This window comes from Homo sapiens, chromosome 7, assembly GCF_000001405.40.
Source record: "Homo sapiens chromosome 7, GRCh38.p14 Primary Assembly".
NCBI classification, from domain to species: Eukaryota; Metazoa; Chordata; class Mammalia; order Primates; family Hominidae; genus Homo; species Homo sapiens.
In genome coordinates, this window is record NC_000007.14 from 151348463 (window position 1) to 151362368 (window position 13906).

Genomic DNA, 13906 nt, shown 5'->3' on the forward strand with positions numbered 1-13906 from the left:
GCCCACCCTTTTCTTCTCCTTAGAAGATTCTCTATTATTATTATTATTTTACTATTTGTAGGTAGAAAACATTTATCAAATAAATGTTTTTGTTTTTTGCTTTTTGCTTTTTTTTTTTTTTTTTTTTTTTTGAGGCGGAGTCTTGCTCTGTCACCCAGGGTGGAGTACAGTGGCACAATCTTGGCTCACTGCAGCCTCTGCCTCCTGGGTTCAAGCGATTCTCCTGCCTCAGCCCCCCAAGTAGCTGGGCCTACAGGCACACGCCACCATGCCCAGCTAATTTTTGTATTTAAGTAGTTATGGGGTTTCACCATGTTGGCCAGGCTGGTCCCAAACTCATCACCTCAAGTGATGCGCCTGCCTCGGCCTCCCAAAGTGCTGGGATTACAGGCATGAGCCACCGCGCCCAGTCTCAAATAAGTGTTTTCACTTTTTCCTGGCCTCTCTAAACTCCACACCTCTCAAGATGTCAAACCACAGTGTGGACTGCAGTGTAACGGGGCGACCTCCACTCATCAGAGTTGATGGCCTTAGAGTCTTTCATGCCCTTTTCTATATTTTGCCTTTTTTTTTTTAAGTCAGTATTGCATTTTCTGATTTTTCTTGATAGGACCTTGCTAAGCAGTACTCTGACAGACTAGAATGCTGTGAAAATGAAGTAGAAAAGGTAATAGAAGAAATACGTTGCAAGGCAATTGAGCGTGGAACAGGAAATGACAATTATAGAACAACGGGAATTGCTACAATCGAGGTGTTTTTACCACCAAGACTAAAAAAAGTGAGTAATTTCCCTAAATTTGAGTAGGCACTAATGTCCAGTTAGTGATGAGGTCAAATAAATTGTTGTTGTTTGGAAAGTTACAATCCAAAGTCAGAATTCTTTTAAGTGACTTTACATATTGAACAATTTATCAGCTTGAAAGTCAATGTTACAAATTCTTAAACTGGAACATTCCCAAGGTAGGCTTTTAGAGACCCTCTTGGGCTTCTAAAATGCCACAGAGCTGTATGTCACATTCTGATCCTTTCTAGCGTGTGAACGTTGAGAAATAATGGGGAATAAAGGATTCCCAAGTTTCCTAGAAGCCTGTGCAGGAGGACACAGCACAGAAGGCTTCATCCTTTTCCTGTTCCAGTAGAGGTCAGAGGGCAGTCCGCTGAGTGCTCTCAAGCAGGGCCGAGGAGATCTGGGTGGGGTCACCTCCTCTCATTGCCATGGCCAGGTAGTTTGCATCTAGAAATGTCACTGTGGCAAGGCACCCAGAGCCTCTTGGGACTGATCGATGCCAGCACTCTCAGAAGAAATAAGAGCATAGGCTCCAGCCCTACTGGGTCTGTGGTTTTTCTCCTCATGTGCGGAGACAAGAGATCGTAGAAATAAACACACAAGACAAAGAGATAGAAGAAAAGACAGTTGGGCCCGGAGGACCACTACCACCTAGACGCGGAAACCGGTAGTGGCCCCGAATGCCTGGCTGTGCTGTTATTTATTGGATACAAGGCAGAAGGGGCAGGGTAAGGACTGTGAGTCATCTCCAATGATTGATAAGGTCACAGGAGTCATGTGTCCACCGGACAGGGGGCCTTTCCCTTGTAGGTAGACGAGGCGGAGAGAGAGGACAGCTTACGTCATTATTTCTTCTATGCTCTTCTCAGAAAGATCAAAGACGTTAATACTTTCACTTTCTGCTGCTGCTATCTAGAAGGCGGAGCCAGGTGTACAGAGCGGAACATGAAAGTGAAACAGGAGCGGGACCACTGAAGCACAGCGTCACAGGGAGACGTTTAGGCCTCTGGATGGCTGTGGGCGGGCCTGACTAATGTCAGGCCTTCCACAAGAGGTGGTGGAGCAGAGTCTTCTCTAACTACCCCAGGGAGAGGCTCCCTTTCCCAGTCTGCTAAGTAACAGGTGCCTTCCCAGGCACTGGCGCTACCGCTAGACCAAGGTCTGCTAAGTAACGAGGGCCTTTCCGGGCACTGGAGTTACCGCTAGACGAGGGAGCCCTCTAGTGGCCCTGTTCGGGCATAACAGAGGGCTCACACTTGTCTTCTGGTCACTTCTCACTGTGTCCCTTCAGCTCCTATCTCTGTGTGGCCTGGTTTTTCCTAGGTTATAATTGTAGAACAAAGATTATTGTAATATTGAAATAAAGAGTAATACTACAAACTAATAATGATATTCATATATAATCATATCTATAATCTATTTCTAGTGTAACTATTCTTATTCTATATATTTTCTTTATTATACTGGAACAATTTGTGCCCTCGGTCTCTTGCCTTGGCACCTGGGTGGCTTGCCGCCCACATATATATTAATATGTAAAACCTCATACATGAATGGTCATAGCAACACTATTCAGTAGCTGAGAGATGGAAATAGTCCAAATGTCCATCAACAGATGAAGGGATAGATAAATGTGGTCTATTCATACGATGGAAAACTGTTCACAATGCAAAGGAATGAAGTGCTGATGCGTCCACAACGTGGGTGCACCTGAAAACATGATGCTCAGGGAAGAAGCCAGACACAAAAGGCCACGTACTGCACTATCCCATTTATATGAAATGTCCGGAATAGGCAAATCTGTAGCAGCAGAAAATGGATTAGTGGTTGCCAGGGGCTGGGGGGCAAAGGGGAGGGAATGGGGTGCAGGCCATGGTGTTTCTTTGAGGGATGGTGGAAATGTTCTGAAATGTTAAAGACGTCCAGCTGTGTGAGACGGCCCCTCTGAGCAGCCCTGCCTGGTGGTGCCACGCTGCCGCCCCCTTGAGGACGTGCAGGTCACAGGGTCAGCCTGTGCTGGGTTATGTTCAGTAGACTTCTAGGCAGGCAGCATTTTAGTTTTTAACAGTGAACTCAGTTTATATCCTCTGCCGTCAGCTTTTCTGATTTCACAGGGTAATCTCTCCAAAATGGGTTAAATTCAAGTACGTTTTACTTTGTCTTATTTTTAACAGGATAGGAAAAACTTGTTGGAGACCCGATTGCACATCACTGGCAGAGAACTGAGGTCCAAGTAAGTATCTGTGTGCTCTGTGTCCTAGGTGCTCTGGGCCTTTTTACATTGGCTTATTTGATCCTCTGTGAGCGTCCTCTTAAGATAGGTAGGGCAGGTATTATCTTCATTTTATAAAAGAGAAAATTGAGGCTTTGAGGTTGAAGGACTTATTAGAGCTGTCACTGGTAGGTAAGTGGCAAAGTGAGGACTCAAGACTTGCAAGCACTATTTCCTGGTGTAACTTCCGAGCAGGTGGGAACTCCATGCCTATCATATGGTAGGCACTTGGTGCATGTTTGAGTGAATGAGTGAGTGATACAAGCAGGAGACACCTGGTACTCACTAGCTCATTAGTTTTGAATTACTATTTTTTTTCCCTAATGTATTAATAGCTTGCTATGACCTTCAGCACGGTGTTTTATCTGATTTCAGGCTGTTGGCCCATCTGTAAAACACACACACACACACACACGTTTGCCACATACTAGTGAAATCCTAACTTTGAGATCTGGTGGGTTATTTCATCTCCTTGTATGTTTTAAAATGGTGTTTGGAGCACCTCCAGGGCTAGCTAGCGGGTGTATTTCTTCAGCTGATTTTTCTCATTTCCTTCTTTGGTCTACATCAGGGCTGTCAGGGGTGGATTCAGGAAGTGGCATGCAACACACATGCGTAGAAGACCCTGTGGATCAGCCCCCGCTATGGGCTTCTCCAGGGAGACCACAGAAGGTATAGGTAGATTTTCTCCGGATGTGCAACTAGGGCTTCCTGTTCACATGGATCTACAGCACTGTGGTCTCCACTGCCTGAGGAAACAAGCAGTAAAACGGAAAGTTTAAAAAGGACCTTGTCTCCTACAGTTTCAAATAGCCGTCTAGTAAGATGGCTTTATTGTGATGTTTGTGAGTCAGTCAGTTGAAATCCTGGGTGTTTCTGATAAAATGGATAAAAGAGCTATCATGATTAAAGCCTTCTTTTAAAAAATATTTATTTTTTAGAGACAGGATCTTGCTCTGTCACCCAAGCTGAAGCACAGTGGCATAAATATAGCTCATTGCAACCTCAAACTCGCGGTTCAAGCAATCCTCCTACCCAAACCTCCCAAGCAGCTAGGGCCACAGGCATGGGCTACCAGGCCTGGCTAATTTTTAAAAATTTTTTGTAGAGATAGGATCTCTCTGTTGCCCAGGCTGGTCTTGAATTCCTGGGCTCAAGCCATCCTCCCACCTTGGCCTCCCAGGGTGTTGGGATTACAGGCGTGAGCCACCGGGCCTGGCTAATGTCTTTTTAATGGATAATAAATCGCAATTTTGTTTTCCTACAATTTTCACTGGTTTTATTTTACAGAATAGCTGAAACCTTTGGACTTCAAGAAAATTATATCAAAATTGTCATAAATAAGAAGCAACTACAACTAGGTATGTATGGCAAAGTATGCATAATTTTTTAATGAACCAAATATAGAAATAATGACTTCCCTTTTTTTCTCAATGTCTTTTCAAAAATTTGTAGCTTTATTTCATTTATAATCCAAAAGTGATTTAGAAGTTTACTAAAATAAAAATGTAAAGCAGAAAATAGCTTTTCCAATAAATATTTACTGTCTGTTCTATGATAGTGGGAAGAAAGACACTCATTACAGCTTAGATAAAATGTTAGAGAATGGAATGTAAGGTGTGCTGAGTGTAAGATGCCAGTTCCAGCAAATTCTTCTTGAAGGAGAAGAGCTAAGGCTGTGTCAGGACAGTGGGGAGGCCATGGTGGCGTGCGTTCCAGACTGAGAGCCTTATGTCAGAGCACTATGGTGTGAATTTGAGGAACTGAGGAAGGTCCAGTGTGGCTGTGTGTGGAGAATGAGGGGAGGGGAGTGCTTTTTAAGGATGGAGGGGCAAGCAGAGGCCACACTGTGAATTCCCAGGAGACATTTGGCATTGTCTGGAGACATTTGTGGTGCTTATAACTTGGTGACGGGGGAGGTTGTGCTGCTGTCATTTAGTGGGTGGAGGCTAGGGATGCTGCTGAATGTGCAATGCCCAGAACAGGCCCCACAACAAAGACTTGTCCAGTCCCAGATGTCAGTAGCGCAGCTGTTGGGAAACGAGAAACTAGATGACCTTCCTCAGTGTTAGTACATTTCTCCTAAGATACATGGGAAGACATCTGTGCTGCGGAGTGATACACAATTCTGTTTGTGTTTTAGAAAGGTCACGCAGTAGGGGAATGTATTTGAAGGTGGCATGAGTTGACTTGGGGAGACCAGTTAGCTACTGCAGCCATCCATACAAGCACTGTAGCCCACTGGTTTCCAGTGCGTTCCTGTGGCCTCGAGAATGAAGTCCACATTTCTTAGCTTGATCTAAGACAGCCCTTCACAGCTCACCCTAGCCTTGCTTTCCAGCGTCATCTCTAGCAATTTCCCATTGTCTATTTTAGATGTCATGGATATCTTTTCACTGTTGCCTCATCCCTCTGTTAATTCTGTTTGTGGCATCCTTCATTGGACAGAAACCTTGATTTTGATGTCATCAAATCCATTGCCTATGGTTTGTGTTTTGTTGAAGTCCTTTCCCTAACCCCAGGGCCACAAGGATAGTCTACATTTTCTTGAATATTAGCTTAATCTATAAGAGGTCTTCAGTCTGTCCAGAGTCCCCCTTTCTATATAAAGTTTAAGGGTTCCTTTATTTTTCTTCCTATATAATTCATTAAATAGTCTGTCTTTTCCCTGCTGATTGGTGGTGACCCTTTTTGGGGGGCCCTGTTCCTATATTTTCTGTTCTTCCTACTCACCTGTGGTGTTTTTTATTACTGTGGCTTTGTTGCAGTCTTAAAATCTGGTGACCTCCCCCCACCCTTGCTTTTTTTTTTTTTTTAATCAAGATGGCTTAACCACTGGTGGACCTTTATTTTGTGTGTTAATGTTAGAAAGGTTGTCATATTTCTCAAAAGAAAAAAATCCAGCTAGTTTTCCAGAAATGTGTTCACATTTGTGTTTTTTAGTTCACAATATTATTTGTTATTTTAAAATCTGTTTGCATCTATGTTTACCCTTTTTTATTTTGTTTATTTGCATCTTTGACATAATTTTTGTTAGATTTGTGTATTTGGCTAATTTATTCATGGAGCCAGCTTTTGATTTTGTTACTGTTTTCTTTCATTCTGTTTCACTGATTTCTGCCCTTTATTTCTAATTTATGTATGAGGAAACTGAGTCCTAGAAGATAGGTAGTTTATTCAGGGCCACAGAGTTAAAACGGTAGATGGAGCCCATGGTCTTTGCTTTTATTTATTTATTTAGAGATAGGGTCTCTATCTGTCACCCAGGCTGGAGTGTGGTGTGCGATTGCAGCTCACTGCAGCCTCCACCTCCCAGGTGCAAGCAATCCTCCCACCTCAGCTTCCCACTGAGTAGCTAGGACCACAGGTGCATACCACCATGCCAGGCTAATGTTTTATTTTCTGTGGAGACGGGGTCCACTGTGTTGCCCAGGCTGATCTTGAACTCCGGGGCTCAAGTGATCCACCTGCCTCAGCCTGCCAAAGTACTGAGATTACAGGTGTGAACCACCACGCCCTGCTGGTCTTTGCTTTTAACCGTGACAGACTGCAGTACAGCTTCTTGTTTGTAGCTGTGAATTGGCTTTATTATTTTTTCAACTAGAGGGTAGGAGAGGTGTGTTATACTTTCTCATTTTCCGTTTATATTGTCTAGCACAATGTTCTCCCTGTAGTAGATTATCAAATATCTGTTGCTTTGATCTGGTCTTAGGCTGAGAATAAAGAAGATTAGAAAAGATGAATTTAGTTGATTCTATTGTCGCTAGCTGATTTTAACCACTGCTTAACAGTGACATAGTTACAACCAAATGTAGGCATATTTTTACCAATTATGTGGCGTGATGGTATGCAGGATTAAGAATTCCATTTTGTCCAGGAGCAAGGCCTGATGTCTGTAACCCAGCACTTTGTGAGGCTGAGGTGGGAGGATCACTTGAGCCCAGGAGTTCAAGACAAGCTGGGCAACATAGTGAGACTCCATCACTGCGAAAAATACAAAAATTAACTGGGTGTGATGGCATGGGCCTGTAGTCCCAGCTCCTCGGGAGGCTGAGGTGCAAGACTTGCTTGAGCCCAGGAGATGAAGGCTGTGGGGAGCCATGATCGTGTCACTGCACTCCAGCCTGGGTGACAGAGTGAGACCTTGTCTCAAAAATAAAAACAATTCCATTTAACATAGAAAATGGACTGTTACCTGGTAAGCTTAATGGCTTTTTAAAATAATAGGCAGTTCTGATTTTTATAGGGAAAACCCTTGAAGAACAAGGCGTGGCTCACAATGTGAAAGCGATGGTGCTTGAACTAAAACAATCTGAAGAGGACGCGAGGAAAAACTTCCAGTTAGAGGAAGAGGAGCAAAATGAGGCCAAACTCAAAGAAAAACAAATTCAGAGGACCAAGAGAGGACTAGAAATACTGGCAAAGAGAGGTACCCAGAGCTCTGGGCTTGTCACCCACTCAGCTGCTTGGGGGCAGCACTGGATCACACAGTTGGGGGATCATGGCTCTCACTGAGTCTCACCTCAACAGTCTAACATTTTTAAGGCTGTCATCATCATAACTGTTTAACATTGAGTTCATGGAGGTCCTTTTGGTTTTGTTACAGCAGCAGAGACAGTGGTGGATCCAGAAATGACACCGTACTTAGACATAGCTAACCAGACAGGCAGATCAATCAGAATTCCCCCATCAGAAAGAAAAGTAAGTACTATGAGAAATGTGTGGCCTGTTCTTAGATTTGTTGTCAGGGCAGAGGTGGTTTTTTAGTTGCTTTATGTTGGAAGTGTTGTAAAGGGTTGGAAACAGTGCTCCATCTCCAGCCTCGTAAACAGAAAATGTCACCACGTGGTGAGCACTGGCATCCAATGGGCCTCACCCTGTGCTTTTCAGCGCATTAGTACAAAATGTCATGTCTCACTGTCCTGGAGCAGTGACTTTCAACATACCTGAGGACACGACCCACTGCCTTCAGTGCATGCAGCTTCCTGTGGCAGTGCTTTACATTTAGTTTATTTTACTAGAGAACCTTGTCCCCTAAGGGATGGATCAGAATAGGGGTAGGGAAACTGTGTCGTTTGGGAAAAGTCCACAGGTGATTCTGACTTCTCTTCCCTATTTCCTCATACTCTTTCCCTGTTCTATAATTTGGGATAGGTAGGCGGAGGTTTAATCTTAAACATATCTGTGGGTTTTTTGTTTGTTTTTTTGTTTTTGAGACGGAGTTTTGCTCTTGTTGCTCAGGCTGGAGTGCAATGGCTCAGTCTCAGCTCACTGCAACCTCCGCCTCCTGGGTTCAAGTGATTCTCCTGCCTCAGCCTCCTGAGTAGCTGGGATTACAGGCATGTGCCACCACGGATGGCTAATTTTGTATTTTTAGTAGAGACAGGGTTTCTCCATGTTGGTCAGGCTAGTCTTGAACTCCCGACCTCAGGTGATTTGCCCACCTTGGCCTCCCAAACTGCTGGGATTACAGGCGTGAGCCACCGAACTCTGCCGTGTTTTTGTTTTTTTAAGACACAGGGTCTTGCCCTGTCACCCAGGCTGGAGTACAGTGGCACCATCATAGCTCACTGCAGCCTTAACCTCCTGGGCTTGAGCGATCCTCCCGCCTCCGCCTTCTGGGTAGCTGGGACTGCAGGTACACACCACCATGTCCAGCTAATTTTTTTTTTTTTTTTTTTTGAGATGGAGTCTCGCTCTGTTGCCATTCTCCTGCTTCAGCCTCCTGGGTAGCTGGGATTATAGGCACGCACCACCATGCCTGGCTAACTTTTGTATTTTTAGTGGAGACAGGGTTTTGCTATGTTGACCAGGCTGGTCTTGAACTCCTGACCTCAGATGATCCGCCCGCCTCGGCCTCCCGAAGTTCTGGGATTACAGGTGTGAGCCACTGCACCCAGCCCCTTGGGGGCCTCTATAGCAGCATTCTGGAACTTGGACTCTAAGATCAATCTCTGAGAAAGGGTTCAGTAGCTTCTTATAATGAATGACTATGGGTCAAATTAATTTTAATTTTTCTGTTTTTAAGGGATGGTTTTGAGTAGGCTTCATTCTATGAGTTACTCTGTTTAAAATTAAAGATTAAAGTTTTTTTTTTTTTTTTCTTGAAAAGGAGTCTTACTCTGTTGCCCAGGCTGGAGTGCAGTGGTGCGATCTCAGCTCACTGCAGCCTTCGCCTCCCTGGTTCAAGCAATTCTCCTGCCTCAGCCTCCCAAGTAGCTGGGAGTACAGGTGTGCCCCACCATGCCTGGCTAATTTTTGTATTTTTAGTAGAGACGGGGTTTCGCCATGTTGGCCAGACTGTTCTTGAACTCCTGACCTCAGGTGATCCACCCACCTCGGCCTCCCAAAGTGCTGGGATTACAGGCATGAGCCACTGCGCCCGGCCGGATTAAAGTTGTTTTCATAACAGAACTGTGGATCAGTGTTTGAGTTATCAGTAGATTGATGTTTGTCTTTTTTTGTGTGTGTGTGAGGCGGAGTCTCGCTCTGTCATCAGGCTAGAGTGCAGTGGCACAATCTTGGCTCACTGCAACCTCCGCCTCCCGGGTTCCAGCGATTCTCCTGCCTCAGCCTCCTGAGTAGCTGGGACTACAGTGCACGCCACCATGCCCAGCTAATTTTTGTATTTTTAGTAGAGACGGGGTTTCACCATGTTGGCCAGATGGTCTCAATCTCTTGACCTCGTGATCCGCCTGCCTCGGCCTCCCAAAGTGCTGGGATTACAGGTGTGAGCCACTGTGCCCGGCCAATGTTTGTCTTTTGAAAATGATGATTACTTGCCCACTGCTCTCTTACATTGAATGACGACATCCAGATCTTTTTGGAAAACCTTTATCACAGGGGTTCCCACCCCACAGGCTGCAGATGGGTACCAGTCCGTGGCTTGTTAGGAACTGGGCCACATAGCAGGTGAGCAGCAGGCAAGTGAGCGTCACCGCCTGAGCTCCACCTCCTGTCAGATCAGCGGCGGCATTAGAGTCTTAGGAGCATGAACCCTATTGTGAACTGGGCATGTGAGGGATCTAGGCTGTGCACTCCTGATGAGAATCTAATGCCTGATGACCTGAGGTAGAATGTTTTCACCCTGAAACCATCTGCCTTCCTCCTTGTCCATGGAAAAATTGTCTTCCATGAAAGCAGTCCCTAGTGCCAAAAGGTTGGGACTACTGCTTTATCAGACTGAATTATGCGAACATTTAAATTGAAAAATCTAATGAACTTCAAAAAATTTTGGATCACCTTTTAAAAATTGTTTTGGGGCCGGGCGCGGTGGCTCACGCCTGTAATCCCAGCACTTTGGGAGGCCGAGGTGGGTGGATCACAAGATCAGGAGATCGAGACCATCCTGGCTAACACAATGAAACCCCATCTCTACTAAAAATACAAAAAAATTAGCCAGGCGTGGTGGTGGGCGCCTGTAGTCCCAGGTACTCGGGAGGCTGAGGTGGAAGAATGGCGTGAACTCGGGAGGCAGAGGTTGCAGTGAGCCGAGATCGCGCCACTGCACTCCAGCCTGGAAGACAGAGCGAGACTCTGTCTCAAAAAAAAAATAAAATAAAAAAATTTGTTTTGGAAATACTAAAGTTGACAAACAACTTCTGAAAAAACTAGATGATTAAGAATAGAAAGTGAGGCCGGGCACGGTGGCTCATGCCTGTAATCCCAGCACTTTGGGAGGCCGAGGCGGGCAGATCACGAGGTCAGAAGATCGAGACCATCCTGGCTAACACGGTGAAACCCTGTCTCTACTAAAAATACAAAAAAAAAAATTAGCCAGGCGTGGTGGTGGGTACCTGTAGTCCCAGCTACTTGGGAGGCTGAGGCAGGAGAATGGTGTGAACCTGGGAGGTGGAGCTTGCAGTGAGTCGAGATCGCGCCACTGCACTCCAGCCTGGGTGACAGAGCGAGACTCTGTCTCAAAAAAAAAAAAAGAATAGAAAGTGAAATGAATGCCCTTTTTAAAGATACAAGCAGCCGGGCACCGTGGCTCACGCCTGTAATCCCAGCATTTTGGGAGGCCAAGGCGGCACATCACCTGAGGTCGGGAGTTTGAGACCAGCCTGGCCAACATGGTGAAACCCCATCTCTACTAAAAATACGAAATTAGCCGGGCATGGTGGCTCATGCCTGTAGTCCTAGCTGCTCGGCAGGCTGAGGCAGGAGAATCGCTTGAACCCAGGAGGCAGAGGTTGCAGTGACCCGAGATCGCACCACTGCCCTCCAGCCTGGACGACAGAATGAGACTCCGTCTCAAAAAAATAAAATAAATAAAATAAAAATGATACAAGCATTACTGGCTGCTTTTTAATATGTTTAGTCTGAATAGAATATTAGAAGTAGAATCCAGATCAGTGGATACGAAAATAAACTAATGAAAGCAAAGGGCCAAGTGCTGGTTAGGATTGTATCAGCTATAATAAATGAAGTGTTTGGCTTCAGTATTTAAATGAAATAAAGCTTTAATTAATTATATTTTTCTTAATTTTGGCTTTTAGATTGAGTTATGATCTTGTTTTCATTTTTTTTACTTTGTTTTTTAAAAAGTAATATGCTTTTAATATAATTTGCCTTATTATATTTTAAAGTGATGTTTTTTAAATTTGTATTTTTTCCTAGGCCCTTATGTTAGCTATGGGATATCATGAGAAGGGCAGAGCTTTCCTGAAAAGAAAAGAATATGGAATAGCCTTGCCATGTCTGTTGGACGCTGACAAATATTTCTGGTAGGCGCTTTTGTACTTGGTGAACACCAGCTTTAAGGAAGATGGCCCAGACTATACAGAACACCCTGCCATGCCCTTGAGACTGCAGACTTTCATCTACAACAGTGGTTAATGTAAAAGAGTAGTTATGGTGTAAACTGGTGAATTTCTTCTTCCCTTTGTATTTCTAATTGACCTTTCCTCCCTGTAAAGAAAAGAATTTTCAAGCAGGTAGGATATCCTCTCTTCTTCTGTACATGTGCTATGTTGCTAGTCGGAACTTTCCATTATAAAGTTTCCTGTCAGCTTTTCACCTAATGGTTTTGGGGTAGTATTGATGATTATTCCTCAAATCCGTTGTTTAAGAGCTGTATAATGGTGATATTATTCCTTCTGTACTTATTTTTTTTGAGACAGAGTCTCACTCTGTCACCCAGGCTGGAATGCAGTGGCATGATCTCAGCTCACTGCAACTTCCATCTCCTGGGCTCAAGTGATCCTCCCACCTCAGCCTCCTAAGTAGCTGGGATCACAGGTGCACATCACCACAGGTGCACATCACCATGCCCAGATAATTTTTTTGTATTTGTTGTAGAGATGAGGTTTCACTATGTTGCCCATACTAGTCTCAAACTCCTGGGCTCAAGTGATCCACCCACCACAGCCTCTCAAAGTGCTGGTATTACAGGTGTGAGTCGCTGTGTCGGCTTTTTTTTTTTTTTTTTTTTTTTAATTATACAGATGGGGTCTCCCTGTGTTGCTCAGGCTGATCTTGAACTCCTGGACTCATGTGATCCTCCTGCCTTGGCCTCCCAAAGTGCTGGGATTACAGGTGTGAGCCACCGCACCCAGCCTCCCTTCTGCATTTATTGCTGGAATTCTGAAAAATTTGTTTTTGCTCATCAGTTATTTTATATGTGGAGGTACAATTTGTATAGGAAAGTTAGAATAAAATACTTTGTTTCTTTCTCCTTATTTTCTTGTTTTCAGAATAAATGAGTTGCTTCACTATCACCCTCCAAAGGTGACCAAAGAGGTTTCTTTTTCTTTTCATTTTCTTAAGTGTCATTATTAACTCATGGATTTAAAACATTTGATGTGTTTCAAACTTCAGTGCTTAAATTGGTCATGCTGGCTGGCAGGCAGCCCATGTTTTTTTGACCTGACCCTGCTAGTCTTTGCAGTCTCTGATTTCTGGAATCCAAAGATACTCCAGGCTCATCTTGGGCATTTAATGCCCAGACCAGGAATCAGCAATTTCCCAAGGAGTCCTGGTTCCTCTTCATGGGAAACGGTACTAAGAGACTATGATGCAGACATATTCAACATTTGAAAAGTAGACTTGATTTTTTGAAAATGGTCAAAAGTTAACAAATTTAGTGTTAACTTCTTTTCTGTTTTGGTGCATTCCCAAGATAATACTGTATACTCCCAGAAGATGAATGCAAATATTTATAGTTTTCCATTGGTCAGTGCCTTTGGGTTCTAAGTGAACAAGTCCCAACTTTAACGTACACAAAAAAGGAATTGGGAGGGGAGGGGCCGGGCTGGGAATAGTGAGAATGAGGGCTGGTTTGTGCTTCTGGGGTCTCTGTCTCTGCCTCTTTCTGGATGTCAGTTTCATTCTCTTCTGCAAACAGTGTAGGGTAAACAGGCTTTAAATTAGGTCCTAAAAGTTTAGGTAAATTTTTCATTCCCTTCCATAGTTGTTTCTAATTTTTTATTATGGAAAATTTCAAATAGTCATAAAAATAAAAATTAGTATAATGAGCTTCCATATACACTCATAACTAAGCTTCTGCAGTTATAAAGACATGGTTGATCTTCATACATCTGTGTGAGCCTCCCTCAATCTTTTTATCCTGGACAAATCCTTGAAATAATTTTTAGGTCTCAGGGAACCATTGAATACAAATTTGGCTACATCTTCAGTTCATGATACATTAACATGTCCGGTAAGTGGTAGGTATAATAATGAAATAATAATTAACAATGTCTTTCTAAGTAGAGAAAGTTTTTTTTTTCCTGGGCATCTATTTATCCTGGGCATCTATTTATCCTGGCCAACTTGTTAGCATATTTTTGTGTGTGTGTGATTTCTCTCTTTTCATAAAGGAAATCAGCAGTAATGTAAGCCAAATA

General features: G+C 43.9%; 1 protein-coding gene across 11 annotated transcripts in view, besides 1 other annotated feature; it reads left to right on the forward strand.

Moving 5' to 3' along the window:
• Positions 1–13906, forward strand: part of NUB1 (negative regulator of ubiquitin like proteins 1) — a 36638-nt gene that overhangs the window by 6651 nt on the left and 16081 nt on the right. For 6 of the 11 annotated variants that reach the window (NM_001363529.2, NM_001385353.1, NM_001385356.1 and 3 more), the window contains exons 3-8: positions 611–778; positions 2962–3020; positions 4350–4420; positions 7306–7488; positions 7666–7760; positions 11679–11785. In NM_001363529.2, coding sequence (NP_001350458.1) covers positions 611–778; positions 2962–3020; positions 4350–4420; positions 7306–7488; positions 7666–7760; positions 11679–11785 — 683 coding nt within the window. Of the gene's footprint in view, positions 1–610; positions 779–2961; positions 3021–3504; positions 3732–4349; positions 4421–7305; positions 7489–7665; positions 7761–11678; positions 11786–13906 lie in introns of those variants that run through there. The other 5 variants (NM_001385355.1, XM_017012304.2, NM_001385354.1 and 2 more) reach the window with 2 other exon arrangements.
• Positions 1220–2099: an enhancer, noted in NCBI's record as "active region_26859". NCBI's record gives its function as "activates an Ori minimal core promoter by ATAC-STARR-seq in GM12878 lymphoblastoid cells {active_cell/tissue: GM12878}" and the evidence as "EXISTENCE:reporter gene assay evidence [ECO:0000049][PMID:35858748]".